Raw genomic sequence first — 27,359 nt, 5'->3', positions numbered from 1 at the left:
CTTGTTAGGAGTAATAAGTGTAATTTAACTGGACACTGATTTCACCCTTTTTAGAATGAGTTTTCAAAAGCAGCGACACTTTACTGAGAGAGAAGGTCAAAGCCATTTGAAAAGATTTTTTAAGTCCTTATTTCATACTCAAATGTTGCTAAGTTATCAATGGCATCTCTGTGAACATTAGAGATATCACATTTAGGTGTCTTGCCTAATTGAAAGATACTTAGAGAGTATTAATTCCTGATTATTGGTATAAGAGACATAGATAGTATTAATTCCTGGTTGGTGATTTCATGAGAGGAAGTTGAGAACAGCTTTCAAAGAGAAGGTTCTTAAGTGTTTCTACGAAGTAGTCTCCAAGTCTCACAGGGAATTCTGTTTTTTTTGTTTTCCCAACTTTATTTTTGTTTGTTGTATAATTGACAAATATGTCCATAATGCTTTATACCTCTTTATGATAGCCACATTTTGTTTATAATACTTGTGATTAGTTATGTGTGTTTATCTTGTACACTCCTGAGGACACAGAGCTAATTTTCATATTTCTGTATTTTCTATTTTTTTCTTTTGTTTTTGAGGTTCCATAACTTGCATATTTCTGTATTTTCTACAAATAGCACAGTGAATGAATCCTAGATTTTCTAAGCTTATACTATGAAGTTATGTTTATGCAATTAGTGTATAGTTTTAAAATACACACAAATGTTTAGTATCTTCTTCACTAGCCATTTAAATTCATAATTTAATTCTATCCTGGGAGAAAGTCAAGTTTAACTTTGAATATTTTGTTATTGTTTATAGCATCCTTATTAACATGCTGATGATAACATTTACTGAGCATTTACATTGTGATTGGCACTTTGCATGGATTGTCTCATTTTATACTTACCAACAACCCTGTGTGGCTGTGCGCCCTATTGTTTAGGTGAAGGCTTAAAGTAATTCACCTAAGAACATACAGCCAAAATATGATAGATCTGGATTTGAGCCAGGTTCCATGCTTAAGCATTTAGCTGCTGTCTAGTACCAACTTGAAGATGTTCATTCTGTATGTAAATCCTGCTGATTGTAGCATTAGTTCTTTGTGTGGTAAGTTAGCTCTTACCAGCTTCTAATACAACTTTTTGGGTCCTGACGTTATGATTTGATTAATGCTACCTCATAACCTAAAAGTGTTAAGCATTCAAAAATGCATAATTTTCTCCCAGAATTTGACATTTCCTGGGAAAATTTGACCAAAAAAGAATAAGTAAGGTCTTATTACCTAGCGATTACAGCATGATACCCCTAAGAGTTATTTTAATATCGAGTTGTGCTTCTTTCACGTTGAAATAAGAAATTTATAGTCATTAAAGCAGCTTAAAAATTTCTTCTTGAGGTCTTCATTCACTTGCTCATACTTTGATTAATACTGCCTTCCATCTTTTCATCTCTTTCCATCTTCTGGAAAGAAAGCAAACCTTTTTTTTTTTTTTTTTTTTTTTTTTTTTTACTTTTGACAAAGTGTTCTGATAGTTATTTCATCAGAGTTTGGATCGTTGTGTGTTCTTCAGGAAAATGTGTATTTTTCAGGAGTCTGTTGGTCCTGTGGGAGGGAAGCGAGGGGTAGGACCGTGGTTATCGTGTCATAGAGGGCAGAAGCCACAGTCTCCCATGGGTCTTCCAGGATGAAGGGCCTTGTCTCCCCAGGACATGTTGAAGACTTGAGCTCTTTGATAATGTGTTTTGCATGTATAACTTCTCCATTATGAATTTGAATTGATTTGCTCTATGGCATCCACTTTGCTCTTGGCTTTCCTAAGAATGATGGGGTTTTGGCTCAGCATGAAGCCCTCTTGGCTTGAGGAGCTGAGGGAAATCAGAAAATTTAGTTAGGTATAATACAATGTTGAGTAACCCAGTGATGTGGCATGCATTTGTTCTTTGAGAACTCCTCCCTACACCTCCCCCCACTGCATTTACAATTTATTTGCATTCTTAAATATGAAGATATGTTTGTAAGATGGGCCACTTAAAATATTATTCTATGTGCTGTATGTAAAAAATGGAAGACTAATTTTATTAGGTTAGTTTTCCATGGCATATAATCAAATAGATGCCTCCTTGTCTATAAACATATTACCTATTATTCATCATGTGCTTACTATATTGAAGATCTGCTAAGTGTATACCATCCTTCAAAATTCTTTCCCATGTCAGGATCTTTGCCTTTGTTGTTCCCTGGGATGCTGTTTCCCACCTCTGAATAGCTGTCTCTGACTCCCTTACAAGTTTTAGGCTTTCCTAATGACTATCAGAAACTAGACTTCTGAACCCTGTCTCTAACTGTCATATCAACCTATTTATTTGTTTGAAAGCACTCTTCCAGATCTATAATTAGTTTACTCATTATTTGTTAACTTGTTCATGACTGCCTTCCCAGTCATCCAGTAGAAGTTCCACGAAGGCAGAAACTTTGTCTTAGACACACCTGAATCCCTTATCTGGTGAATCATAAATGCCAGTGTGGCATGGATTGCTTTCAGTTTTCAGACACCTCTGGATTTCAGCAGCAATTTGCATACAGACTGCAGGAAATCTCACAGAATTAAAAGGGAGAGAGAATTAGATAAGCTGGGCAAAAGAGAATAATACAAAGAGAATGGTGAAAAATAAATTGCCATTAAGAAGAAAAGTATATTACTAGTTTGTCACCTGTGGAGAGAGTTGCTAATTAAATTCTAAGGTCATGCTTACATCAAATGAGCAATTTTTAAAAGTCTCTCACTTATGGCAGATGACATGTCTTTTATTGCATCATAAAGTGTTGGGCTCATCTGTATGATTAATTGGCTTTTGATTGTGTGTGACTTCTTCTTTCTCAATTAGTACCTTTGCTTCTGTGCTCCTCTGTGTGAAGCTTGGGGAAAAAATAATGCCAACAATGATAATAATGAGAAATGACAACAGAACAGGTTATTGTCAGCCCAGAGTGCTTCTTATGGGAAGAAATTATGTATTTTTACTACCAGGTGAAGTCTGTCATTGTAAAATATTTCAGTGAGTGAAGCTGGATCAACCTTTTCAAGGGATTAATGCAGGATGGATTCACAATTAGTCTACTGACATCTGAGATACTAAAATATAAACAGTCGTTTTTTGGAGATGGGGAGATAACTTAAACTTGGTTTATGGGATTAAGAAACCGTTTGATATTCCCCCCTGCGACGTGCTTTCTAAACAGTTGCCAATGATTTTAGGTGATGTGGTTAACTCATTTTGGCCCTGCAATGTGACAGAGTAAATTTAACATGAGAGTTAAAAATGTAACTTCCTGGTAGATGTGCCTACGTGGGTTATACTAGTTTGCACTTGTCAACCTAGAGAGATAGACTATTCCTTTGACACTGGGAAATTTTGTACTGGCTTCTTCATTCATGTGGAGATCAGGGCAGATTCCCTGTGGTTTCTATAGTTACCGAGAGCTACACAAACAGAGATGAGGTTCTGTAGTCCACAGGTTTGGATGTTGAAGTTAATAGAAGCCTACACCACTTTTAATTGTAATGTCACAAGCAACAGAGGTTTTATTAAAGTGGCTTGGATTGTGTACATTGAGTTACTCTCAATTTTTTTTATCATCAACAAGTAATGATAGTTTAAGTAAATGCACTTAGATGTTAATTGTTCTGTAGAAAAATGAATAAGGCCCAGTATCAGCATATCTTTTGTTAACATAATTGACACATTTATAACTTAGGTGCAAAGATGGAACCATTTTACAATCTACCTGCTTTCCTAAAGGAAGTTTATTATTGCAGATATTCCAAAAGTAGCAAGCAAGATATTTTTTTTCCCTAGTTTGTGCTCTGGGGAAAAATATCAATACAGTATAGTAGGATATGGGGGTCTTATCCTTAATTCATTATTCAACAAATCCTCAAAATGCGTTGGCTTTTCTGTTAACCTCTCTGAAATTTCGAATGGGAAATGTGGTTTAGGTAACCTTGAGCTGCTTTTCAAATCTGGCTTTAGGGATATGAGACTTACTTTTTTTCTAGGGTGAGCTGTTAAAAGTGCATCCAGGTAAAATGATCCCTTTAACTGGAGTCAGTTTTTCTATGTCTAACTTTAGAGGAAAGATTTGCAAATCATGGGATCAGCACTTAATTTGGGGCTCTATTTACCATGTAGGCTGTCAAGAAGTATTAACCTTAAGGTAAGATGAGAACATGGAGTACAAAGCTGTGAGTTGATGGCATACAGTACAGCGGTATTAAATAGCATTATCCATCCTGCTTGCTACAGTAAATAGGATTTCACTATTATGATGTGTCAGGGCTTTCAGTAAAATCAAATTTACAAGACACTAAACTGCCATCCTCTCTGCTGAGCAGCTTTATTCTGGGATCTTGCTTTCATATTAATCCTGTTGGTAGGAAATACTTGTACCAATTGTGCATGGAAATTATAATTTAATGATCTCTTCCTTTTCTTTATTCAGAGCTTAGAATGGACTACTGTGCTTTGCAGTGATAGCCCCAGGGCTCTGAGAAAGAGAAAATATACAGTGCAGCTTTAAAGCCCAGTATTGCTTTTTTGTGAGTGCTTGTAATGATCATAAGTGCTGAGATGCCAACAATATGGGTTGCATACTTTCTCAACTCTTCACATTTCCTTTACCTTTTGAAAGGCTACACAATAAAATAATTAGATTCTGTTTACCCTGATGGTTTTAAAAAATGATATGCCACTTGAATATGTAAAGACAAGGTAAGAAATAAAGCATTGTGAAATCAAGGGAAAATTAATTCCACTTTTAAAGATTCTTTACATTTTAGGAAGGCTCAGCAGGCTGTTTTATTTGAAAAACAATTATTTACTCACTTTACTTTCTTTGAGCTCCTTTCTTGCTATTGATAAGAATATTACAGCCAGGAAATCATTATGTTTCCTGCGTATGAGATTGAAATTGGCTAAATCCTTTGAATTTTCTTCACATCCAATTTCAAAGTTAGTGATTGTTTTGCTTCTTGACATCTTGCTTATTTATAAATTTCAAATGTACTTCATTTAGGCAGACCAGCCAATGCGTATTTTCCTATTTTACTGACTGAAAAATTAAAGTACATGAATATTAAATTTTTTAAAGGAAATTGCAGTGCTTCTGTTAGAAAGTGCTCTTCAATCCCAGTTTTATGTTCAGACCATGAGACAGCTGTGCGTCTGTAAGGATTACGTTTCAACACATTAGCTTCAGTTAAAAAGATATATTTGGTCATTAAAACATTTGCAAATAATATTAGCTCATAACATCATCAAATAGAAGTGCCCACATCTGAATTTGGCATATAAAGCAAGTTTGCACAGTAAGGTTGGCATTTAATGAAGGGAACCTAAATCCAATTTGTCCGTGTAGACTAAGATAGGATTTTAACTTTGGTCATTCTTATCAGAATTTTGGGGACTAGAGGGAGTCCTTGGCATTCACCACTCATTCAAAAACACATTTATTAATCTCCTACAGTGAGCCAGGCTCTATTCAAAGATATAATGATGAATACAAATGGCACAAAAGCCCATTGGTATCTGGCACGGAGCTTTCAGTTGACACAGTGGCGCAATGGGCCCATGGAGGCTGTGTGTTTTGTGAAGAACACTACCTTTTTACTACCTTTGTCCCTTCAAGAGCTAAAGATCATGGGATTTTGGGGGGAAAGTTAGTAGGTTAGAGAGATCCATCAGGTTAAATTATCAGATGAAGACCCCAATACATTGGTTGCCTCAAGTAGTTCTTTCTGAAAATAAACATTAAATAGGTAAGTTCCTTTGAGGACCGGAACTCATTCCCCTTTAATCACTGTGATAGTGCCTGGCACATAATAAACCTTGGATAAATTTTTTTAAAATTAATGTGTTCGTCCAGGAATGGGGTGGGTTCCATGGCCAAATAATTTTGAGGAATGTTAGGTTTCACAAAGCTGAACAGATTTCTTTTCTACAGGCCTTCTCAGAAGTTACGTACACTTAGAGCCTCCAGGATGAGGATGCTGCATGATGTGTTTCACCATTATACCCAAAACATGGAATTGTTCTGAGATGAATTTATCCCAGTATATCACCTGAGATTTCTGTGCCCTGAATAATGCTAGTACCTACATTTTTTTTAGTCCTTCTTAGCTTGCATCCTAGGATGTAAAAGTAGAGTAGCCGTAGAATTTCACTGTTGGAATTCCTAATCTGAGGGCTTCTGAGGACCTGAAAGCACCCTGGGATTGCCGCCCTTTGCACCATGTTCCAAAAGCATAGGTCAATGAGAAGAGGCTGCCTCAGGGTCCTAAAGGTGCGGTGCTCTGGGATAGGGTTTTCTTTCTCTCTGAATTCTCTTCCTAATCCTCACCCTTTCCAAGAGTCTTTGAGAAAACTGTAGCCCAAGGTATCTAATTTTTGTGTTTAGGTGTCCATTGATTCAAGCTTGCATTATTCCAACCTCCTCAGAATTGGGAGCAATGGGTAGTGGGGTTTCTCCTTGATCTTCCCATGTCAAGATTCAGCACCATGCCCATTAACCCAAGAGTTGTACATACTTGCCTGAAGAACCAGGCGCAGGTTTCAGTAGCATGCCACCAATGGAAAGTCTGAACCAGAATATTCTTCCCTTTTATGAAATGAAGTAGGAAGGTAATTAAATTGGATAAATTACTCCTGTGGATCTCTACAAATCTTCCCGCAAGTGTTGCCAAGATATGGTGCTGAAGGAGCAAGTGAAAGAGATATCAACATCTTCTGTTCCATCAGAGCCTCAAGGTTTCTGTGACCCTCTAGAAAGAATCTATAGGACTTGCTATTCTTTTGTGAGGAAGCAGTAAGGTTTACTTACATAGCGTAGAAAGTGCGCCTTTGTATCTGGAGAATAAGTTTGATGATGGTCAGTAATCACATGCTCTGCAATTTAATTTGTCTTCGTAAAACGTTTAGAACTGGAGTTCAGAGAGAATGGCATGATCACCACACTGTCCCCTTGTGACTTGTAGTGTTTGTATAAACTCTATAAAAGCAGGGACCTTGTCTGTTCCCTGCTGTATCCCTATTACCTAGACCAGTACTTGGCACTTAGCAGGTGCTTGTTAAATATTTGTCGAATGAATGATGAAGGCATTTTCAGCGGGTCAAAAATGTCCACGTAGCCTAGAGATGCATCTTCCAAATTGCTTAGTGGGCAGCTCGTCTCAAGTTAGACCTTATTCTGCAGGTTTTCTGAAATTTAGGTGAGGGTCCTTTTGCTCCAGTCATGCTAACTTCTGCTATTAATGCAACAACATACCTTATTTATGTAAAATTAAACATCAGTGTAATTACTACTCCTCAAGCAAGCTTTTGAAATAAATTAAATTATTTGTCTAAGTGATGTTCTTATCCATTACTTTTACATGACTGGGGAGAAGGTGAATAATGATGATGATGATGATGATATCAATTTTATCCACAATCTTTAACCTAAATAGAATGCCCAACTTCATATATTATCCCAAAACCTGGTTTTGAGTGACAGAGTGCCCCTGGGTACTATGCATTGTGTACATCCTTGTTCCAAGATTGTTGGGAAAGAAATAGTAATATCAGTGTCAGTACCATCAACGTCATCATTAAAACATCCACCATTGGCACCCGCCTGTAGTCCCAGCTATTCGAGAGGCTGAGGCAGGAGAATCACTTGAACCTGGGAGGCAGAGGTTGCAGGGAGCCGAGATTGCGCCACTGCACTCCAGCCTGGGTGACACAGCGAGACCCGTCTCAAAAAAAAAAAAAAAAAATTTACCATGAATTGAGGGATTATTATAAGCTAGGCAGTGCTTGAAATTAGTTAACATAATACTGTATTCTATCCCTAGAACAAACCATTAGGGGAAGGTATTTCTTTGCCAGGCAACCAGTTGATTTGTTGAGTCTGAAAGACATTGAGTAACTTGACCTGGGATTCTTAGCTGGTGCACCCAGGCCTCTGTCTTCCTCCTCACCAATGGCCTCTCCCTCTGTGTCACCAGTGGTGGACTATTAAATTTTCACTTTCAGTCTCATATGATTCCACTCCCCTTTTCATCCTCCCCCTCTTCATTTTTATTTATTTATTTAATTTTTGAGACAGAATCTCTCTCTGTCGCCCAGGCTGGAGTGCAGTGGTGCGATCTCGGCTCACTGCAACCTCCATCTCCTCAGTTCAGGATTCTGCTGCCTCAGCCTCCCGAGTAGCTGGGATTACAAGCGTGCACCACCATGACTGGCTAATTTGTAGAGATGGGATTTCACCATGTCTGCCCGGCTGATGTCGAGCTGACCTCAAGTGATCTACCTGCCTCGGCCTCCCTAAGTGCTGAGATTACAGGCATAAGCCACCGAGTCCGGCCCTCCCCCTCTTTAAAAAGATTTTTGGTGGAGGTGGGCCTGACATTTTTTGTTTAGAACCACTAGAGTCAAGTAACAGATTCTCAACTGAGTTTCCCTCAGCAACATTCATACTTGGTTTTCTTCCATAAGCTAAGCGCCCATTGTTTTATTTAATAGTGAATCTTGTTTAAAGAGAAGTTGAACCAGCTTTATTACAGGGCATGATTAGATACAGTTAATTAGTACGGCTATAGCGTATAGGCTAAATTGATAGGAAAGGTGCTGAAAGTAAGGAAATTGTAAAGGATCTGTGAACTGGGTCTTATTCCTCTGAGGGGATGCAGAGAAAAGAAGCTGGCCCTGTACTGTGGGGAAATATAACCAGAAATTGAAGTCACAAGCGAAGCCAAATCAGCCCAGGTAAAGGTGATGACACTTTCTGAGATGGCAACTAGTAGCTCTTAAGTAGCCTTGAACCATGGTGTCCACAGCAGCCCAGCACGCTTAGCTTGCTATGCGGATTGTACCTGTGGAATCCTGGGGCATAACTTCCTGCAAATTTAGGTTTAGTCACACAAGTTTACTGTCACTTTCCATTCTAAGACTGAGTGTGCACTTGTTTCAACTCTCTCGTTTCAGGTCAGAGATGTTTCTCCTATCCTAGAACTATTTGAACTTCAACTTCCCCAGGCTCTGCCTCAAAATTAACTTTAGTAATTAATGACCTTCAGTACATGTACCACTCAATTAACTACCCTCAAGCCAGCCGTACTTTTAACCTTCCTCGATGGCAGATTCTTGTCCATCTCCTGCCACAGCATTCCTTCCTAGGAGATCTCCATGCTTGCGTTCTCTCTGCAGATTGCTCTGCCTGTGTTGGGCATCCCCTTATTTTTACTTTTTTTTCCCCAACTTTATTTTTGTTTGTTTTGTATAATTGACAAATACATCCATAATGCTTTATACCTCTCTTGATTATAGTCACATTTTGTTTATAATACTTGTGATGAGTTGTAGATGATGAGGGGATGTTGAGCATCTACTGTGTGTGCAGATATTATGCATGGTAGGTACCTGTGACACACAGTCACTGAAGCAGACACAGTTTACCTGTAACATCTCATCACTCCTCCTTGCTTGCTACTTCCTAATATTAGAATTTCTAGAACTTAATCATAGTGTAGTTTCCACCTTGCCTTCATGGACGATCTGTGATGTGACGTGGGCAGCGGAAATAGAAGTGAGAACGGAGTAGCACTGACTGAGGGGTTGTCTCCTTGGGCAAGCAGTCCACGTGTTGAGAAGATTTGTCTGCTTATCTGTTTATCCTCATTATCATTAAAATGAAAATGTAACTAGAACTACAACGAGCACTTCTGTAGCTCAAGAAAAATAACCCATAATAAATTGTGAACTGTCTATTCTCTCATGGTGTAGTTACTCTAAATTGTGGAAATTTGGCAGACGTCCCTAGAACTATTTGTTAAAATTCAATAGTATGTAATTAAAGACAGAGACTGCCATTTTGCTGTTGGGTACATTAAAAAATTATATTATGTATCATTTGGATTTGACCCTGAACTTATTTCCCAAAAGATTAATGCCAGAAAGACAAAAGTATATTTTAGTCTAAATAGAGGCTCAAGTTATATAAAGTAACTAAATTTATGGAAATATCAGTTAGACTCTAGCTATTTAAGAGTAATTATGCAAAAGATAGTTTTGAACGAATATTCCTCTAGAAATAGCCAAATGGACACTGTAATTATGATGAAATTCTGTGCTTCAAGTCTTGCCAGACAATAAAACAAGACTGCTGATATTTTAAGCCTATATCATTAAAACTAATATTGATACAACAACCTGGATAATATGTCAGTGAAATGGAATATTTTATAGATACACAAAAGTATACTGCTCCTTGAAACGTTAGCATTCATCTAGTATAAAATTACACTTTTTTCAAGCAATGAAACAGAAACCTAGAGGCTTGAAAATTGTTTTTACGTGGTTGGGAAAGGGAATGGTGGCACTATTTACCTAGTTATGATTATCTCATCAGATAAGTTCTAGGCAAGTGAGTGGGTGTTTGTCTGTTTAGGTTCCTGCAATTGATTTGTGTTGGGGTGGCCCTCCCAAATATAGACAAGTGGATATGGATTCATATATTAGACCTCCTAGTTATTGGCTATTTATTCTTAGATAAATCATGTAACCTGTTTGACCCTCAGATCCCTCATCTGTAAAGTGGCCTTCATATTGTACTTCCTTGGGGATGTGGAGATTAAATAAAATATTATGTGTTAATTTATACATACTAAATTAGGATAAATATCAGTTATCAGCACCAGTCTCTAGGAGGTTGATAATTATACAGCTGTTTGAGGTAGCTTGTTGCGGGGAGAAAGCCCTAGAATAGAGTAGAGGGATTGAATCTGGAAACACAGGTTGAATTCTATTTGAAGTATTTATCTTTTTTTTTTTTTTTTTTTGGTGAGATAGGTCTCGCAGTGTCACCCAGGCTGGAGTACAGTGGCGTGATCTCTGTTCACCGCAACCTCTGCCTCCCAGGCTCAAGCAATCCTCCCACTTCAGCCTCCTGAATACCTGAGACTACATGCACGTGCCATCACACCGGGCTAATTTTTGTATTTTTTTAGAGACGGGGTTTTGCCACGTTGCCCAAGCTGGTCTCAAACTTGTGAGCTCAAGCAATCTGCCCACTTTGGCCTCCCAAAGTGCTGGGATTACAGGCATGAGTCCCTGTGCCCGGCCATTATTTTGTTATATTGAAATGTTATATTGAATTTTGCCAGAAGGAATGGAATTATTGGCTCAACCATAAAACTGTTTTTATAATATAGATACAATAATTAAACCTACAATTAAGCTTATATAATCTTTCAGGTTTTTCAGAACTCTTTCATGCATATCATTTTATTTGATGAAATGGGATTTCTCTGCCAGGTATGGTGGCTCATGCCTATAATCCCAGCACTTTGGGAGGCTGAGGCAGGAGGCTCGCTGAGCCCAGAAGTTTGAGACAAGCTTGGGCAACAAAGTGAGACCTTGCCTCTACAAAAAATAAAAAAAATTGCCAAGCATGGTGGTGTGTGCCTGTGGTCCCAGCTACTCGGGAAACTGAAGGAGGAGGATCAGCTGAGCCCAGAAGGTCAAGGCTGCAGTGAGCCATTATGTCGCTGCACTCCAGCCTGGGCAACAGAGCGAGATCCTGACTCTAAAGCAAGTCATGGAGGGTGGGGGCAGCAGATTTATCTTATATATATATTTGCTTTCGAATTTGGCAAATTGTGTATATCAAAGTTAGAAGTCTGATAATTTAGTGCACATAAGCTTAGGTCTTTCTGTCATCTTTTGAGCAGAGGCTGGTTTGAATCTGCATCTGTTTTGTTGAATCACCCTAGCTAATGAGTGGGAAATTTAAAAAAAGAACAGAGCTGGTTGAGCTTTCACTTCTGCATATTCAATCCTTTGGTATGTTTATTAAATTCTATGGTATTGTAATATTGCAGTCTAGCTCTTCCAGACCAAGGAAGTAGGTACACAGAGAAGAAACCAGGTTCTAGAGGTTGTGGTTGTGACATTTGGGGATGGCAGTGTTAAGGAAGTAGCCAGGGTGTGGGGACTGTGGGACTGTAGGAGACCTTAGCATCAGAGGAAATGCTATACAGGTGCCCTCTAATAATGTAATGTGAGCATGTCTTCTGGAATTTTTAGTTTTGTGTTTGAATGTTCCATCAGAAGTGTCTGACTTAGGATATCAGTGCAGAACAAGGATTTGCTTTTTCGTGATGCATTTTGGGTCAGTTTTTTTTTGTTGTTGTTAACATCGAGTAAGTACAGACTGAGTTATATTTTCCATCTTCTCCATTAAGATGAAATGGACAACAAGAGGAAGCAAACATGAAAGCTTGGGTGAGGGTGGGTCACCAGGCTGTGGTGGGCAAGAGCAAGGAGCCCTGGGGAAAGTCGCACAGCAGTTACTCTCCGACAGCCACTGAGCTTTGTGGGACAGTGTTCACAATTGTGAATAGTCCTGGTTAAAAGGTCTTTTCTTGAAAACCAAGCTTTTCATTTGGATTCTATTCCAGAGGCACAAAACAATTCTGGGGTCTTGGCTTTGGCAAAATGACATTGGGATGTTTATATCAATTTTCTTTAGAAATGAAATTTTCATTTCTAAAGAAAAATGTACTGGGTCAGACTTAATTCTGGCACATCTCATCATTTTGTGCAACTTATGCAAGAGTCTATTAAAAGGACTCACCAAAGAGCAAAATCACCAAAGCCCTTTTCGTTATAAAACTAAAGGTCTCAGCATATGTTGGCCAGCTCAGAAAACCTTCACAGACGGCTGTGTTAACCTTTTTTAAGAATGTAATTTTTTTGACTAAATTACTCAAAAGGCATTCTGAGTTTAGAGAATGCCTAATCTTGTTGAAATTTTAATTTCATTAAAATTAAATGACAAAAAACTCCAGTCTTTAAGTCATCAAGCAATAACTTTTCAAAAAGATCTGTATAAACATCTAATAATTTTTTTCTCTTGTAATTTAAATTTATTTTTATGTTCCTCCCACAACTTCCCGTCAGCTTTGCTGCTTCTACCTAAAAAGCAAAAAGCAACGAATATTGGTTAGTTAGGCCTTTTAAATTATTTTTTATATTTGTGGATCTTATTTGTATTTTTAATCCCTTAAGTCAAAGTGTATTGTGTTCATGACTGAAGTATGCAGTTGTTACAGTATAAAATTATGGGCATTATAAGGATTAAACCTAGCTTGTCAATTGTGGGTGAACGTCTTTTTTATTGGAGTATGCTACAGTGTAAAGATAAAGGCATAACAACTGTTTTAAATTGTTTTTCTTTCTCATTTTCTCTGTGGTACGAAATATGGTAAAAATACCTGCTAACTTGCCACTGTGAACACCCACTCTGCAGTTAAAACATTTCCCATAGCCTATTTTATATAATGTACTTTCTGGATCCCCTCATTATCCAGAGAAAATCATTTTTCTTTTGAGAAAATTTTTTCTTTTGAAGTTTATCCACATAGCATAACAGGGTATTGGTATAAGTCTTTCTGCCTTATACTTTCTCATCATTCATTTACTCTAAAATTAGTAAAAGCAATAAAATTCTGTATGTGCATGATACATATTTTAAGTAACCTGGAATATTGACTTTAATGTATTTCTATTATTGTATTAGTAACTTTCTTTATCTGTGGACGTTTTAAGGAGAGAGAAGGGTTTGCTGATTTCAATCAACAATCAGCAACTGAAATAAAAATTCTAAACCATATTTTCTCAAAAACCTACCTCTGTAAGTTCTGTAAGTTTTGCTGAATTCAAGAATAACTATTCTCTAATTTCTTAGTCTCATCTGTAATTTAGAATACTTTCAAATAATTTTTTGGACTTTTATAAAGCTTTAAAAAGTAATACCTTTTAAGGCTTTAAGGTTTTAAAAGGTATGACTTTAACAACATTTTAATGTAATTTAATACCCTTGTTTCTAACAGTTTAAGACTTTTGCCAAATGTCTTTTTATTTTTTAGTGTTATTTTTTGCACTAGTAGTTGTTCATTTCATAAATATTTATTTAGAACCTACTATGTGGCAAGCTCCATTTTAGGTTCTGGGGATATAGCAGAGAGCAAAGCAGACAGAAATTCCTCTGGTTCTGTAGAGCTGACAATTCATTAATGTGAGGTAGTCAATAACAAATATATTTTATGTCAAGTGGTGATGGGTTCTATGAAGAAAAATGACTCAATAAGAGGAGAGAAAATGATGGTATGTGTATGGTGGGTAGGTGTGCGTGATGCTGTTTTGGATAGCGAGGCCTCCGATTAGATGCTACGTGAGCAGGGACCCAAAAGAGCCATGTGTTTCATCTACCTGGGGGAGAAGCCTGCTGGCAGATCCTGTTGAACACTCGTTACCTAAATCTCTTGCATTGGCTCCATGTCATTTATTGCTCTAGTGTATTCTTCACTATCTTTTCAGAAAGTGCCAGGTTTGCTTTTCAAGTATAGTATCTGTCTTGCCAAGTCTGGCAGACAGTGCTTATTTTGGTCTGTACTTTGTTAGCAGATCAGTTCTATGTTGAGTTCAAATGACACTCTGGTTTCAAGAGTGACTCTAATTCTTTTTCTCCTAGAGGAATAGTAAATAAGCCTTATGAATCTGGTCAGTGAGTATTGAAGTATTTTAAAAATTCCTTATCCAGTGAAAATGCATCCATGATTCTCTCTGTGACTTTACACACCTTTCCTCAAGCCTATCCCAAACCCAAGTCAACACTAACAATCCTACCAAGCTATTCAAAATGAAGAGTAACATTTATTGCAAGTTTTCTTGTATGTATGTCAATGTGTTTGCTAGCACTGCAATGCTGAGTTACTTAATTAAACCTTTCCAGCTTTCTAGGAGTGTTATCCTCATGTTTTAGACAAGTACAGTGAGACACAGTAAGGGTATGTACTTTATCCAAGGTCGCGGGAATAGTAAGTGGCAAAACCAGGAAGTGAACCCTGGCAGTCTAAGCTCACATACTCTCTAAGCCACACAACACAGACTTTTTGAGAGGTTGTACTTGGAATGGGATTGCATTAGCCAGAAAGGGGCTGAGTGGGCCCTCTGGTTCAGTGTTCTACCAAAGTTAAATAATATGTGCATGGGCCACATAAATGTTTTAATATGAATTGGGTGAAAGTTCCTCCTTTAACGTTGTCCATAGATTGGAAATGGTTCCTGTCCACAAGGTTGTGCAGTTGATGGTTGTTACAGGCCGAAAGAATGAGGGGTCGTGATCAACTCACTATACCACTGGAGGCTATATGAGTAAACAGCAAACTGTTCTCATGAAAGCAGGATGTTGGCAAAATGACAAACTGCGCTACCCAGAAGGAATGCTGAGGGCAGTCACGACCCAGGCACAAGTGTTTCTTGTGATTAGGCACATCTGAAGTCTGTTAGCAATAATCTGAACCTGTGATCAATTAAGCAGCTAACCAATCGTTACCTCCTCCTCCCTGCTCTTGCTACCCAATAAATAGGAACAGTGGTAGAAGCTCGGGGGCTGCCTTTGCTCGTTAGAAGCAGGAAGCTCTCTTCTTCTTCCCTGGTTCCCCTTCCTTTAAAACAGTTTCTTTTGTCTTAAGTTTTCATTTCTAGGTTCCTCCCTTCCTTCAGTCTTGTAATGATGGTCTCAAGCAGTAACAATAGTAACTGCTGTAATGACGATCTCAAAATAGTAACCATGGCAGTCGGCCACGGATGGATCTGTATTCACCACCTCCATGGTCCCTTTCCTGCTTTTGTTAATCTGTTCCCCTATTAAAACAGAGAAGGCCTGATTGCTGTTATTTGCACCTGTCATCTTTGCACTGAGTCCCCAGTTTTTGTGGTGTTCCCCCCAACCACCACCTTGGGGTGAATTCTCCTTCCTGGTTTTAGGTTTCCAGTCCCCCTGCTGTCCTCCAACCTCTTCCCCATGATTAAAACAGGAAAAGCCTTTGTTATCTGAAGGTTTCTCTACTGTGGACAGTCTGCCGAGATGGCAGCAGTTAGGTACAGCTAAAAAAGTTCAAGTAACTCTTCTGGAGCTTTGGGACATATGTTCACTCCTCATCCTTAGCATGGGTCATCACTTGTTTTTCTCACGCCATATAATTATTTCTCAGGTTTAGACCCCCAGGTACACAATACTGCTTTCCAGTATGTTTGGCATAATTTTATTAGGTATTTAAAGCATCTTTGTACCATAATCCTCCTTATCTGACAAATTGAAATTCATTTTAATGGTTTCTTTTACCCTATGAAGTTTTAATGAATGGGGTCTATGGTTGGAGCTCATCTTTGCAATGAGTAGAGATCGTGCTGACATTGTATTTGAAAATAGTGTTTATTCTGGGAAGGATGTTATGCAGGATAATACAAGAGTTTTCAGAAGTTTTTATATTTTATTTAGGGTCTTTGCAATGTGTTGAATCACTGTTTTAGTTGGAAATCCAGGTTCATCATATTGCCATTTATTTTTTTAAAAAATTGGTACATATCTCGGCATGGAAAGAGGATGGTATTCTGGTTCCTCAACAAGTATCCAGAGAATGTAAGTTTTTATCTTTGTTTTAGACTTGGGGTACATTTCTCTTATTTGTCCAAGAGGTGCCAGATGGACAAATCACAGTACAGACATACTTCATTTGCCTTTTTAAAAAAATACAAATTTAAAGTTTGTGGCAACCCTGCATTAAGGAAGTTGATTAGTGCCATTTTTCCCAAAGCATGTGCTCACTTAGTGTCTCTGTGCCACATTTTGGTAGTTCCCATAATATTTCAAACTTTTTCTTTGTTGTTATATATGCTATGGTGATCTATGATGTGATCTTTGATGTTACTATTGTAATTGTTTTGGGACACCACAGACCACACCCATATAAAAAGCTGAACTTAATTGATAACTGTTACGTGTGTGTTCTGACTCCTCCACCCATCAGCCATTTCCCCATCTCTTTTCCCTCCCCTGAGAGGCCTCCTTATTCCCTGAGACGCAACAATACTAAAATTAGGCCAATTAATAACCCTACAATGACCTCTGAGTGTTCAATTGAAAGGAAGAGTCACACATCTTTCTTTAAATCAAAAGCTAGAAATGATTAAGCTTAATGAGAAGGATATGTGCAAAGCCTAGGTAAGCTAAAAGCTGTGCCGTTTGCACCAAACAATTGGCCAAGTTGTGAATGCAAAGGAAGTGTTCTTGAAGGAAATTAAAAGTGCTACTCCAGTGAACACATCAATGATAAGAAAGTGAAACAGCTTTATTACTGCTGTGGAGAAAGATTCGTGGTTTGGTGGAATATCAGACCAGCCACAACATTCCCTTAAGCCACAGCCTAATCTAGAGTAAGACCCTAATTTTCTTAAGTTCTACGAAGGCTGAAAGAGGCAAGGAAGCTTCAGAGGAAGCATTGGAAGCTATCACAGGTTGATCATGAGGTTTATGGAAAGCAGCCATCTCCATAACATAAAAATGCAAGATAAAGCACTAGGTGCTGATGTGGAAGCTGGAGCAAGGTATCCAGAAAATCTGCCTACTGTCATTGATGAAGGTGACTACACTGAACAACAGATTTTCAATGAAGGTGAAACAGCCTTCTATCGGAAGAAGATTCTGTCTAGAACTTTTCTTAGCTAGAGAGGAGAAGTCAGGGCCTGGCTTCAAAGCCCCAAAGGACAGGCTGACTCTTGTTAGGTGCTAATGCAGCTGATGACTTGAAGTTGAAGCCAGTGCCCACTTACCATTCCAAAAATCCTAGGGTCCTGCAGAATTATGCTAAGTCAACTCTGCCCGTGTGCTATAAATGGAACACCAAAGCCTGGATGGTAGCACGTCTGTTTACAGCCTGGTTTACTGAATATTTTAAGCCTACTGTTGAGATCTACCTCTCACAAAAAACATTTTCCATTTAAAGTATTACTGCTCATTGACAGTGCACCTAGTCACCCAAGAGCTCTGATGGAGATGTACAGGGAGATTAATAATTTCATGCCTGCTAATGTCCATTCTACAGCCTGTGGATCAAGGAGTAATTTTGACCCTCAAGTCTTACTATTTAAGAAATACGTATTATAAGGCCATATCTGCCATAGATAGTGATTTCTCTTGAATGATCTGGGAAAAGTACATTGAAAACCTTCCGGGCAAGAGTTACCATTCTAGATGCCATTAAGAACATTCGTGATTCATGGGAAGAGGTCAAAATATCAGTTAACAGGAGTTTGGAAGAAGTTAATTCCAATTATGGATGGCTTGAAAGGGTTCAACACTTCAGTGGAGGAAGGAGTTGCAGATGTGGTGGAAATAGCAACAGAACTCGAATTAGAAGTGGAGCCCAAAGATGGAACTGAATTGCAGCAATCTCATGATGAAACTTTTAATGTTTGAGGAGCAAACTTGAACAGATGATGAGCAAAGAAAGTGGTTTCTTGAGATAGAGTCTACTGTTGGTAAAGATGATGTGAATATTGCTGAAATGACAGGAAAGAACTAAGAATATTATAATACATGAACTTAATTGGTAAAGCAGCAGCAGAGTTTGAGATAATTTTGAATTTTGAAAGAAGTTTTACTCTATGTAAATGCTATTAAACAGCATCACATGCTACTGAAAACTCTCCCCTGAGAATGAATTGATGTGGCAAACTTCATTGTTGTCTTATTTAAGAAATTGTCATAGCCATGCCATTTGGCCACCACCGCAGCCATCAATATCGAGATAAGACCCTCCACCAGTGTGACTTGCTGAAGGCTCAGATGATTGTTAGCATTTTTTAGTGATAAAGTATTTTTAAATTAAGATTATGTACTTTTTTTGACATAATGCTATTGCACGCTTAACAGACTACAGTGTATTATAAACATGACTTTTATACGCACTGGGAAACCAAAAAGTTTGCATGACTCACTTTATTGTGATAGTGTGAAACCAAACCTGCAGTATCTCCAAAGTATGCCTGTATTCAGTTTTCCTATTCCAGTGATATGGTGGTTGTAAAATAAAAGTATTTCCTCCCTCTTTCTCTCCCCTCATTTCTCCATCTCTCTCTCTCTGTTCCTCTCCCTTCTTTCCCTCCCCTCCCTTGCCTTATTTCATTCGTTTCTTCTTTCCCTCCTTTCTTTCTTCCCTCCTTCCTTCCTTCATTTCATCCATCCATCCATCCATCCATCCATCCATCCATCCATCCATCAGCAAACATTAAGTGCTGGATTTCAAGATTCATAGACATGATTCCTTTTTCTTAAGGTACAGTAGGTTAGTGGGAAGGAATATAGGGATTATTTTATGGTAGTATAAGTTCTTTAATACAATTTATACTAATCATCCAGTTTAACATTTTCTTACCTTTCTATTCCTTGACACCTGAGGCTTAAAATTTGGATAGACCAGGCATCAGCAAACTGATAATAATTTATACATTTTTAAATGGTTGGGGAAAAAATTCAAAAGAATAATTTTATGACACAACAATTCTATGAAATTCAAATTTTAGTGTCCATAAATAGTTTTATTGGAAGACAGCCATGCTCATTTATGTGTGTATTGTCCGTGGCTACTTTCGTACTACAACAGAGTTGAGTAGCTTTGACAGAGACCATGTGACCCATAAAGCTTCAAATATTTACTCTCTGGCCTTTTATGGCAAAAGTTTGTCACCTCCTGCTTTAGACATCTTTTTTCCCCTAGAAGTTCCTGAGGATAATTGATTGTGGACATATCCAACTATGTTCCAAGACATGGGCTGGGGACACAGGAAAAAGCAACAAACAAGGAGAACCTGTTTCCCACCATCACAGAGCTCAGAGTCTAGCGAGTGGAATACAATACAGAGAACAAAATGAGCCAAAATAGATCATGAAAAGTGTGATGAAAGAAACATGAATACAGTGAGAGAAAATAGGAGAGGGGTTTTCAGATGAGGTGATCTAACGACGAAACACTTAGGAAGCACACACTCACACTCCAAAGAATAGCAGAGGTAGCGGTCCTGAGTGCTCCAGCCACCAGTCTTCCTCCAGTTTTCCTCGGGAAATGGCACCATTACCTACTCAGTGGCTGAAGCTCACAATCTACGACACATTTTTGGTTCTCACTTTTCCTCACATTCCCTCCTTCCTCTCCAATTCATCAGGAAGTTCTGTTGATTCTACTTCCAAAACATAGTTCAATTTTGTCTGTTTTTTAAGTCTATTACCACCATAAACCAAGCCTCCATCTCTCTTAGCTGAACTCTTGTAATCACTCCCTTGTCTGTCTAGTCCATCTTCTGTTCCCTCCACCACTGTCTATTTTCCAGCCAAGAGCTATGGTTTTTTAAGAACTTGAGTCTGGGCCGGGAGTGGTGGCTCACGCCTGTATTCCCAGCACTTTGGGAGGCTGAGGCGGGTGGATCACTTGAGGTCAGGAGTTTGAGACCAGCCCAGGCAACATGGTGAAACCTTGTCTCTACTAAAAATACAAAAATTAGCCAGGTGTGGCATGCACCTGTAATCGCATCTATTTGGGAGGCCGAGGCAGGAGAATCTCTTGAACCCAGGAGGTGGAGGTTGCAATGAGCTGAGATTGCGTCACTGCCCACCAGCCTGGGCAACAGAGTGAGACTCTGTCTCAAAAAAAAAAAGCTTGAGTCAGATTATATCGTTTCTTTGCTGAAAACCGTCCATGCTTTTCCATAGCCGTTAGAATAAAATCCAAACCCATTACATGCCTGTTAAAGAAGAAAGGAAGCCAATAAGGCCTGAACATGGGGATTGTCTGATGTGCTGGACTGGATATAAGATGGTGTAAGAAAGAAAGATGATTCCTGTATCTCTGGCTTCAGCAAATGTGTGAAAGATAGAACCAGTTACTGAGTCTAGGAAGACCAAGAGGAATAAGTTTGTTCATTGAAACAAACAAAAAACAATGTGGGATTGTGTTCTCTCTCTCTCTCTCTCTTTCTCTCTCTCTCTATCTATCTATCTATAAAAAAAAATCTGTTTATTTTTGAGATCGAGTCTCACTCCATCACCCAGACTGGAGTGCAGTGGCACAATTTTGGCTCGCCACAACCTCCTGGGCTCAATTGATCTTCTTGCCTCAGCCTCCAGAGTAGCTGGGACTACAGATGCGCGCCATCACCCCTGGCTAATTTTTTGTATTTTTTTGTGTAGACATGGTTTTGCCATGTTACCTAGGCTGGTCTTGAACTCCCGGGCCCAAGCAATCTGCCTCACTGACTTCCCAAAATGCTGGGATTACAGGCGTAAGCCACCGAGCCGAGCCCTGTGTTTTAATCAATTTAAATTTTAGGTGTTTCTGATACAATTGATTTCAATAAAACATTTGGACCATTGAGTATGGAATCAGAGGCAAGGTCTGGGCTGGGTATATAGATCTGGGAGTTGTCAGCCCATGAGGGGAGTTTAAAGCCATGAGACTGGAAGAGCTTCGCTAAGAGACCAAGTGTAGGTCAAGGAGAAAAGTGGACCTTGAACAGCCCTGAGGTCTGAACTGGGGGTTACTTCTTAAGGGAAGACAAGAGTCCAGTGGAATTCCTCCACAGGGACTGAAGGGGAAGGAGGCAGGAGTTGTGCTAATTTATCCAGGGAAGCAGTTCTCCATCATCTTTAGAGGAAGTGGGAATCTGGGCTGGACAAAAGCCAAAGATTATTAAGAGCGTCTTCTACAAACAAAGTCTCTGGCTAATCTAAATTTAATTCTGGATCTTGTAATATATAGTTTAGGAGTTCATTTAAATTTAATTTACATAGGGTGAAAATAAGCTTTGACCTTTATAATTGCTGTATCAGTAAAGTCACAGGTTCATTGACTTGTTAGCCAATTTTTCCTGTGTTACTTTTCTTCTGGTTTTGTTGTTGTTGTTTCAGTTTGTAATATACAGATTTAAGAACAAGTGTCTGGATATCCACAAAGGCATCACAGACAGCTGACATGTGGATCTGCTTTTGTTTGTAATTAAAATGGGCTTAAATCTCATCCCCCTTACACTAAGTAAAATATATAATTAGAATTTTTAATATATAATAACTTTTAAATATCTCATTGTAGGTTCAGGGAAGGTAATAGTATTCAATTAGAGGCTAAATGCCACCTCCTACACAAAGCCTTCTAATTGTTTTGTATAGATGGTGATCTCTTTTCATAAGGCATTCAATACAGTGATCTGGAAATCAGTACGTTAATACAGTGATTTGCAAATCACTGTACTGTAGCTGTTAAGCATATTACCTCTGGAGCTCGGCTGCTTGGATTTGACCCTGGCAGTGCCACAGACAAGCTCAAATGACCTGGTAAATTATTTCATTTTGGAGGGCCTTAGTTTTCTCATCTGGAAAATGGGGATAATTGTACCAACCTGATGGAGTTATTGTCAGGTTTGCATGAGACAATCTATGTAAAGCGCATGTCCTGGGATCAGATTTAAGAACTATTTAGAAAAAATGTCTGTATTAACACTTAGCTAAAATACGCCACTGATTTGTAAAGATATTATTATTAGCATTTATACCTTTCTTGTCCTCAGAGTGATTTGATGGGATATGGGCAATATTCTAAACAATATTAAATCAGGAAGGCTTTAGTTTTCTAACATACAAACTCTCAGAGAGCTGAAGACTAAAAATTTATTTTTCTTTGTATAACCAGTACCTGGCACAATACTAGGCTATTCATGCTTTGTTGAACTGAGGGCTAAAACTCAGAAAGTTGATATCAGAGAATTAGGATGATTGGGGCAAGGGCTGGCACACGCCATCTGCTTGAGGGGTTGTGTTAGTGGCTGTGCAGAACTTTCCATTGCATCATTACTTTTGTTTTTTGTCAAGAACGAAAGGTATATAATAAAAGTTGGCTCAAGAGAAGTGAAACTAAAGAGAAAAGAGGAAAAAAGTGAAGATGCCAGGTGCTCATGCCTGTAATCCCAGCACTTTGGGAGGCTGAAGCAGGTGGATCACCTGAGGTCTGGAGTTCAAGACCAGCCTGGTCAATGTGGTGAAACCCCATCTCTACTGAAAATTCAAAAATCAGCCAGGCGTGGTGGAGTGTGCCTGTAGTCCTAGCTACTCGGGAGGCTGAGGCAGGCGAATTGCTTGAACCTGTGAGGCTGAGGTTGCAGTGAGCTGAGATCGTACCACTGCACTCTAGCCTGGGCAACAGAGTGAGATTCAGTCTCAACAACAACAAAGTGAAGAAAGAATTGAAAAAGAATCGAAGAAAGCCCTACTCTGAATGAGCTCAAATGCGTCTCAGCATAGAGGAATACAGACAAGTGTGCCAGTTCTTCTTGTGGAGAAGCACTGTCCCAGAAGACGGGAGTTATCCTGTGACCTGCTAGGCCAAATAGGCTTTTGGCTGGACTAAAGTAGTTGAGCCTCTAAATGACTTTACTCTCCTTCAGCTCCGATTCTTTCAACACAGGGGTATCTAATTTCTAAAACCAGACCCAGTGGGATTGAGTGGCTTGCCCAAGGTCACAAGCAGTCAGGCCCCTGTTAGGAAGTGCCCCCTCCCATCCAGAGATGTTCAGCTCTAAAATAGGCTGCCTAGGCCAGGCGCAGCGGCTCATGCCTGTAATCCCAGCACTTTGGGACGCCAAGGCAGGCTGATCACCTGAGGTCAGGAGTTTGAGACCAGCCTGGCCAACATGGTGAAACCCCATCTCTATTAAAAATACAAAAATTAGCTGGGGGTGGTGGCGGGTGTCTGTCATCCCAACTATTCAGAAGGCTGAGGCAGGAGAATCGCTTGAACCTGGGAGGCTGAGGTTGCAGTGAGCCAAGACCACACCATTGGACTCCAGCCTGGGCAACAAGAGCAGAACTCCGTCTCAAAAAAATAAATATATAAAATAGGCTGCCTTCTGAGATTTGCCAGTCTCCCTGTCACCAGTAGTGTTTCAGGCACAATGAGAACAATCACTTGTCGGGGATACTGTAAAGAAGATTCTTGGGAAAGGATTTGATGACCTGGAAGGTCTTTACACGTTAAAGTTCAATGATTCTAGCTCCAGTTTCATGGATTTAATAAGACAGCCTCTCTTCCTAGCTCCTTTTAGAAATGGATCTTTGAAAGCCTTTTGTTTTATGTTCTATTTAAAATAGCAATTAGCTTTGCATCGCAGGTACTTTACAGTGCACCATGTGTATTATTCTTGTGGAATATTAGTTCACCAGATGATAGCCCACAATTCTAGTTACATATGAAGTGGTGGTGTGGTGAAATAACATTGCAGCTCCTCACTAAACCAAAAACTGCAGCAAGCTTGTCGCAGAGAGACCCTCATTTTCCCAGCTGTCAACCTGACTGATATTTTAATTTTTTTGCCCTGTAGAAAACTTCAGTCTCTTATCCAATAGATAAATGAGTGAACCCCCAGGAAATGCAGCAGAATGTTTCTGTTTGCCAATGCAATGAATGCAGAAGCTAATAAATGTCTACTTCTATCAGGAGGAGGCGTGTAATGAGTAAATGATGAGAGAAAGAATTCAGGGAAACAAATGATCAATTCAGTCTAAGATGACAAACAATTTCCTAATAACTTGGCCTCTAGTTGGAGAGAGGGCTTCACCAGGCAAAGAGAATGCCTGTTGAAACTAAGCCTAGCACAAGGCCATTTACATTCAGCTGCTGATGGATTTGGTCTGGTTACATTTGGGTCACACTGAGCAATAAGGCGACGTTCAGACACAGCGTGGTTATTGCAGACTTTTCTTTGCCCTGTAATGTCTATGAGTGTGTACTAGGAAAAGGAATCATTTCAGAGCCTAATTCACATTATTCACCCCGATTCCATTTATGTTTCACATTTGTCTTTATAATAAAAATCTTTTTCAAAGTAAAGATCTAGTCTCTTTCTCTTGAAATGTGTTCAGATCACAAGGGTCACACAAGAACCTCTTTTGTGTAGAGTGAATATGCTGTTCTTTAAAGACTTTTGTAGACCTCAGCTCCCTAAATCCCCAGTGTCTGCCTTTGTGGGAACTAACAGAACGCATATGCTTTGTCTCTCATGGATGGGTGCATTCTTGCTTATAGGTCTTGTTTGGAAGGACTTGGACCTACACTAGGCAGAATACACAGTAAATGAGATGGGCCTTGGAAGGAGACTTGCAGCCCACATGGAAGATGTGAGAAAGTGACATCATGCCAGACTGAAAGATCATTTGATGAAATGCATTTTATTATCACCCCTTGGTGGGATCTTTCTAAGAACAATTCTCAGAAAAGCCACGTGGCAAAGATTGGCTACTAAATACCAGCAGTTTTCAGGGACAGATTTTCATGAATATTTCTAGAAGACTATCAGACTTGTTTACTGGTCCTCTATAGCTATCTTTTTCTCCCCATCCCACCCACCCTCTTCTTTTTTTTCTTTCTTTTTTTTTTTTAAACAAATATGACACATTCTGGTGTATTTCAGTACCACATGAATGAACTGCTTTGCTGCAGTTGAGGGGTAAAACTTTTAGGTAGAGTTTAATGCAGGAAAATGCTAAGGAGCCACCAAATAGAAGCTGGACACAGGCAATACTGCAGGGCTCTTAGTGTACTTGGTAGCATATAAAATACACCTTAGAGACTCCGGAATCCTGCACACTGCCTTCTGAGGGAGAGCCATTATACCTGCAAGCTAAGACTTTTCAATGTGCCTCTATTCACATGCATATTTCTCTGCCAAGTCTTTCAAAAAGGCCTTTCCTTTGAAATACAAAAAGATAAACACATCTTTGAAATAGATTGATGGTCCTTTGCCACTTTTGAGCTTTCTCCAATTCATATCTGAGATTATTAACCCTTAAGACTGACTTTTCTGTTCACCTGTGTAACTTTACGTGTGTTGCTAGCACTAGAGAAAACCATGTCACAGTTATCATTAACATCTCAGTTTGTGCTAAAATTGATGAAAAGAAATTAAACTTCAGATATGTGTATCATCTGCATTGGATCTTCTTTTTCTTGGGTATTGTGGTTTGGTTAAGAAATAAATATAAACCCTCCATGGTCAACAAAAGGCATGACTTAGTGAAGTACTCTGTAGGGTACCATCTACTGCTTTGTACTGAAAGAACTATAATATTTTAAACCTCAAGACCTAAGGCCTTCTAGCTCTGGACTTAGGGACTGATTTATTTCTGGCACTTAATATCTTATGGAACACCAGCAAATGTGTGACCTTGTTTAAACACACCATTCCTGGTAGGTAAAATAAAGATAGTGGCCCCTAACTTTACTTCCTTCTTGGCTGGTTTTTATCATAAAATCAAACGATATGAACATAGGAAATACTTGATTCCTAACAATATTTGCTTTTGGACAGTCCAAGACTCAACCAGCTCTCCTATGCTTTCAACTCTTGCCCTGTTAGAATTGTGTTCCCTTGTATAGGAAGAATCTCCAGAGCCTCCCTTCTTTCCAGAGACTTTTGAATATGAATGTTAGAGTACATCTCAGTAGATCATAAGCAGTGGAATCACATAACTAAATTTAAAAAAAAAAATCTAATTCAGGTCCTAGGACCTTACTCTGTAGAAGTTGCATTCAGTAAATACTTGAGTGAATAAAAAATGGACATTGACCCACTTAACAAATGGCAGAAGAATTTCAGAGATACCAATAATAAATAGGGCTTTAACCTTCATAATTTAAAATTGGTTTGTCCCCCAACCCCCTTTTGAAAATTAATCCCCACTCTCTCATCTGTATTGACCTTGTGGTTGCATAGGTTTGTACTGTGCCAAAAGGGTAGATTTTTGTTTTTACTTTTTTGTTCTAGAGGAGAGTTGGTACAGTTTGGAAAATCATAAGAAACTGTTGCGTAACTGTCCTTATTCTTATATCTGTTCACCAAGGGCTAAAACTTAAAGGAATTTAAACATTTCTTCTCTCCTTTTTTCTCTTGGGGAAAGGGGGAAAAAACAAACCAAAGTCTAAGCAGCCCTATCATTCCATTATATGAATAATCTATTAGTTACTTTAGCTATTTTCTGTGGCTAAATACTTGTTTTTCATTTTTCAGTATGATGAACTCCACAATGAACAAATTTTTAGCTAAATTTTTGTATACATTCATGATTATTTCACATATTTCCAGACATGAAGCCTTTGAGTCAGAGTACATTCGAAAGGCATTTGAAACATGTTGCCGTAAATTGTACCAATTTATACTCTTACTAGCAAATGATGAGGGAACCCATTTCCTCATTTACTCATTGACACTTAATGCATCTGTGAAATGAAAGAAAGCAAGTAAGACAGCCAGTTTGATAGGGTAAAATCAAATGATTTTACCAATCTTTGTCTTTCAAGTTTTTCAAATGCTACTATCAAGGAAATGTATGTGCTAGACACCTGCAGTCTAGCCCTTCCCTGTCCTACTCCCCAGTCAGGAGACTTGAAAGAATGGTATTT

General features: G+C 38.8%; 1 protein-coding gene across 4 annotated transcripts in view, besides 1 other annotated feature; it reads left to right on the top strand.

The window, feature by feature from the left end:
- Positions 1-27,359, top strand: part of CHCHD3 (coiled-coil-helix-coiled-coil-helix domain containing 3) — a 297,221-nt gene that overhangs the window by 200,886 nt on the left and 68,976 nt on the right. The window lies entirely within an intron of this gene.
- Positions 7,618-7,879: a silencer, noted in NCBI's record as "fragment chr7:132558086-132558347 (GRCh37/hg19 assembly coordinates)". NCBI's record gives its function as "represses an EF-1alpha promoter that drives an FKBP-Casp9 reporter gene in an ReSE screen in K562 erythroleukemia cells {active_cell/tissue: K562}" and the evidence as "EXISTENCE:reporter gene assay evidence [ECO:0000049][PMID:32094911]".

This window comes from Homo sapiens, chromosome 7 (genome assembly GCF_000001405.40).
Source record: "Homo sapiens chromosome 7, GRCh38.p14 Primary Assembly".
Classification (NCBI taxonomy): domain Eukaryota; kingdom Metazoa; phylum Chordata; class Mammalia; order Primates; family Hominidae; genus Homo; species Homo sapiens.
The sequence above is the reverse complement of the archived record's forward strand: the minus strand, read 5'-3'. Positions and strand labels throughout refer to the sequence as shown.